This window comes from Homo sapiens, chromosome 8 (genome assembly GCF_000001405.40).
Source record: "Homo sapiens chromosome 8, GRCh38.p14 Primary Assembly".
NCBI lineage: Eukaryota > Metazoa > Chordata > Mammalia > Primates > Hominidae > Homo > Homo sapiens.
The window spans coordinates 57,203,917-57,208,831 of NC_000008.11; the positions used below are offsets into that span (position 1 = coordinate 57,203,917).

The 4,915-nt window shown below is 56.7% G+C and overlaps 1 annotated feature.

The window, feature by feature from the left end:
* Nucleotides 1,628-2,129: an enhancer, noted in NCBI's record as "H3K4me1 hESC enhancer chr8:58118103-58118604 (GRCh37/hg19 assembly coordinates)". NCBI's record gives its function as "activates a minimal SCP1, AML or CMV promoter by ChIP-STARR-seq in primed H9 embryonic stem cells {active_cell/tissue: H9 hESC(primed)}" and the evidence as "EXISTENCE:reporter gene assay evidence [ECO:0000049][PMID:30033119]".

Sequence of the window (4,915 nt, forward strand, 5' to 3'; positions counted from 1 at the left end):
GTCTGACATTCCTGATGGAGGTAGGGAGACCCCCTGGTACCATGCTCACGTCAGACCAGCTACCGTGAGTGACAGGAACGTCTGACAGGATTGCATGTTTGGCAGAAGAAACACCTGCCAGATCAGATGTGAACGTGTGGCAGAAGGCCCATCCAGGAAGATTGCACACTGGGAAGAAGGAAGACCTGAGAACGTTGGACGGACAGCAGAAGGAGCGCCTTGGGAGATTGCCCGGTGGGGTGGTGGTAGCATCTGAGAGGATTGCGGGGTGGGCGGGAGGATGAGCTGGGAAGGATGCAGGGCCTGGGAAGGTAACATATGAAGACGATTAAATATGTGGCAGGAGAAATACCTGAGAAGATGGGATGCTTGCCAGGGGAAACAAGGGACAGAGTGGAGTGTTTGGGAGAAGGGATGCTTAGGTAGATTGCACGTGTGGCCAAAGGTACATATGAGAAGGGTGAATGGCGGACAGCAGAAACGTTGCAGCCGATGGCACGGCAGTGGGGAGGAAAACGTAGGAAGCATGGAAGTGCATGGCTTGCGAAAGAAGCATCTGAAGCCATGGCATGTCTGAGAGAGGACACATCGGGCAAGATTCCACGTTTGGCAGTGGGCCCATGAGCGGAGGCAGATGCGTATGGGCCTGCGACAGTCTCGGTTCCTGCCTCCTGAGAAGAAAGTCATCAACTGAGGGGCACAAGGCAGAGGGAGAGACCGAGGCACGCATAAGAGCAGAGGCAAAAGTTCCTGAAATGGTATGGTGGCAGGAGCCAAAGGAAGTCAAGGAGGCTTGGAAGAGGCCCAGGTGGGCAGCGACCTGAGAGGTGGAGTGCAGGGCTGGACTGTGGACTTGGGGTCTCCCCCACTGGCGGCATCGCTGCCAGTCCCCTGATGCTTCCCTTGGTGGGGGAAGGGCAGTGCTGTGCACTGGCGCAGTGGCCTGTCAGCACCTTTTGGGGGGGTGCGGGTGGCAGCGCAGGCGCCGTGTGCTCACTGGAGTTGTTCGCATGGTCGCTTGAGGCGTTCCTCCTGTAAGCAGACGAATGTGCCCGAGGTAAAGGTCGTAAAGCAGTGAACCTCCCACCAGTTTGCCTCTCAGGGTGCGTACGAGAGCCCACTCACCTGACACTCGAGGTCTGCCGGAGAGGCTTCCGACGTTCCTGATAGCTGTGGGGGGTGGCGGGGCTGCCTTTCCCTGGCGCCGCGTGCGACCAGTGATATCTCTAGAGAGTCTGCTTCACGAACACCTGAGCATCACCTCGCAGCCACCTGATGTTTTCTGGTGGTGGGGAACCCTCTCGGGCCCCACTCTGCACGTGTGACTGAGAGGGACACCTGACAGGATTGAACGTGTGCCAGAAGATCATCAAACGAGATGGAGTGTCTGGGAAAGGAACGTCTGACAGCCCTGAGCATGTGGCAGAGGGAACATCTAAGCAGATTGCAGTGTTTTAGGAAGGAATGGCTAAGAACATCACATGGTCAGCAGGAGGAAACCTTAGGGTAGGAAGATTGCAGGGGTATGGTGGGGCAAGGGAACCCATGAGAAGACTGAGGGATCGGCAGTTGGACACCCTAGGCAGATTGCAAGGCCTGCCCGAGAGACATCTGGGAAGAGGAAGTATTGGGCCCACGGTGCGCCGGATAATACTGAGCACTTGTCAGGGGAAGGAATGGACGCAGTTGGCTGTTTGGCAGAAGGAACACTCAGGTAGATTGCACGTTGGGCAGAAGGCCCAAGTGTGAAGATGACATGGAAGACAGCAGAAAGCCTTTAGCAGGTCGCACGGTAGGGAGATTGCATGTGTGGCAGAAGGAACACGTGAGAAGGTTGCCATGGTGGACAGCAGAAAAATTGCAGCCGATGGCACAGCGGTGGGGAGGAAAACATAGGAAGCTTGCAAGCGCGTGGCCTGCGAAAGAAGCATCTGAAGAGATGGCATGTCTGGCAGAGGACACATTGGGCAAGATTCCACGTTTGGCAGCAGGCCCGTGAGCGGCGACAGACGCGTATGGGCCTGTGGCAACCTCGGTTCCTGCCTCCTGAGAAGAAAGACATCGAGTGGCACACGGTAGAGTGAGAGACCGAGGCACGCATTAGAGCAGGGGCGAAAGTTCCTGAAATGGTATCGTGGCAGGAGCCAAAGGAAGTCAAGGAGGCTTGGAAGAGGCCCAGGTGGGCGGTGACCTGAGAGGTGGAGTACAGGACTGGACCTTGGACTCAGGGTCTCCCGCGTCGGCAGCATCGCTGCCTGTCCTCTGATGCTTCCCTCGGCGGGGAAGAGGGGGCTGTTCACTAGCACAGTGGCCTGTCACCATCTCATGGGGGCGCGGAGGCGCCGTGTGCTTACTGGAGTTGTTCTCATGCTCTCTTGAGGCGTTCGTCCCACAAGCAGATGAATGTGCCCAGGGGAAAACATCCCAGATCAGTGAACCTTCCACCAGTTTGCCTCTCAGGGTGCACGTATGAGCCCATTCACCCAACTCCCGAGGTGTGCTGGGGAGGCTTCTGAGGTTCGTGACTGCTGTCGGGGAGGGGGACTGCCTTTCCCTGGTGCTGCCTGTGATCAGTGATTTCTCTAGAGAGTCTGCTTCGTGACCACCGGGCCATCACCTTGTGGCTGCCTGATGTTTACTGGTGGTGGGGAACCCTCTCGGGCCCCGCTCCACACGTGTGACTGAGAGGGACACCTGACAGGATTGAACGCGTGGCAGATCATCCGACGAGATGGAGTGTCTGGTGGAAGGAACATCTGACAGCCCTGAGCGTGTGGCAGAGGGAACATCTAAGCAGACTGCAGCGATTTCAGAAGGAACGGCTAAGAACATCGCATGGTCAGCAGGAGGAAACCTTAGGGTAGGGTGATTGCAGGGGTGCTGGGGGGCAAGGGAACCCGTGAGAAGACTGCGGGATCAGCAGTTGGATGCCCTAGGGAGATTGCAAGGCCTGCCCAAGAGACATCTGGGTAGAGGAAGTATTGGGCCCATGGTGCGCCAGACAAAACTGAATGCTTGTCAGGGGAAGAAGTGGACGCAACTGGCTGTTTGGCAGAGGGAACCCTCAGGTAGATTGCACGTTTGGCAGAAGGCCCAAGTGTGAAGATGACATGGTAGACAGCAGAAACCCTTTAGCAGGTCGCACGGTGGGCAGAAGGAACCTCTGAGCAGATTCCATGGTGGGCAGACGGAATGCCTAGGAAGAGTGCGTGGCTTGCAAAGGAAGCATCTGGAAAGAGGGAACATCTGGGAGAGAAAACATCCACCAAGATGGAGCGTTTGGCGGTAGGGATGTCAGCGGTGGCAGATCCATAGGGGCCTGCAGGCAGCAACCCGAGCTCTCACCTCATCAGAGGGAGTTTAACTGAGGGGCGTGAGGCGGAGTGAAAGAGACCGAGGCCTGTTTGAGCGCAGGAGTGCAGGTCTCCCAGATGGTACCAGAGCAGAAAGACGAGGCAGTAAGGTATACTTGGAAGAGGGCCATGTGGGCAACTGGAGAGGTCGGGGGCACGCTTTGTTCGACCTTTGAGGCGAGGTCTCACACATTGGCAGGCTTCCAAGAGCCAGGGGTTGCATTGCTTCCTCCCCTGAGCCTTTTCTCAGGGTGGGCCATCCACATGGGCAGTGGCCTGTCATCACCTGGGAGGGACCGCAGGCGTGGCGTGTTTCCTGGAGTCATAGGGGCGCTCACATGAGGCGTGCCTCCCTTGGCAGTCGGATGTTGCCTGGGGAGGGTCGTAGGACAGTAAAACCCGGCCGGTTTGCCTGTGAGTGTGCAAGCATGAGCCCCGTCACGCGCCCCCTGAGATCTTCTCAGGGAGCTGCTAATCGCCACCTTCCGGGGTTTCTGTCTGTCTGGGGGACCGCCCGTCCCTGGCACCGGCTCCCGGCAATCATTTATTATTTGAGACAGGTAGTTTAATGGCAGCCTGACCCGTCGCCTCCTGGTCGCCTGATGTGTCTGGTGGGGTGTGGGCGTGGCCCTCTCCCGCGCTGCTCCTGTCTGACCAGCCGCCCACGGTAACACAGAAACATCTGGCAGGATGGAGTGGTTGGCGGAAGACACATCTGACGAGATCGAATGTTTTGCAGAAGAGCCATGTGACGGGATCCGTGGTTTGGCAGAGGAGACATGCGAGAAGACGGAACGTTTTGTCCGAATAGACATCTGGCAGGGTGGAACGGAGAGAACAGGTATGGTGGAGAGAACGTCTGAGAAGGTCGCAGGATTCGCAGGAGCATCGGGAAAAGATTGCCTGCTTGCCCGAAGGAATGGCAAGTTCCAAAGGTCAGAGGCTCGCGTGAACTCTGTCGGGTTCGAGAGCAGCTCAGTGTTGCTGGTGGCAAGAGTGTGGTACGGGAATGGTTGGGTGTGGTTTGAATGTCTAGAAAAGGCGAGCTGAGGGTAGATTTTTGAGCGGTCCAGAGCAGAAGGGGTAGAGGATATATTCTGTGGGCCACGGCCACATTCTCAGGATGCTCGTGGCTGTAAATAGTAGATGACCCAAGTAAGAGCGGCTGAAGCCATAGGCACCAGAATTGTGTCAGCATCGTCGTGTCATGCTCATGTTTTCCCTTCCAGCTGTGCTGTGGGCAGTGTTTAGTTCATGTCTGCTTTGCTGGCGGGCCGAGTAGCAACAGCTGCAGTTGGTGTGTTCTCTGAAGGCAGTATCCGAAGGCTGGAGGGGTTGCTTTTCTTCCCAGGTGTCTTTTGAAGAGGCAGTCAAGTCAGCAGCTCGCGGTGAACTTCTGGTAACATCGTATGGGCTGGGTTACAGCACATGCCGACTGCTAAGCCGGTCACTGGGGAAAACCATGTGATTGCTGTGATGAGCTTAGAATGATCATTCCTCCTTCGGGAGCTGGGGTGGGTTGAGGGAGTGATAAAGATCACGATAACCTTGCATTTCTCCAG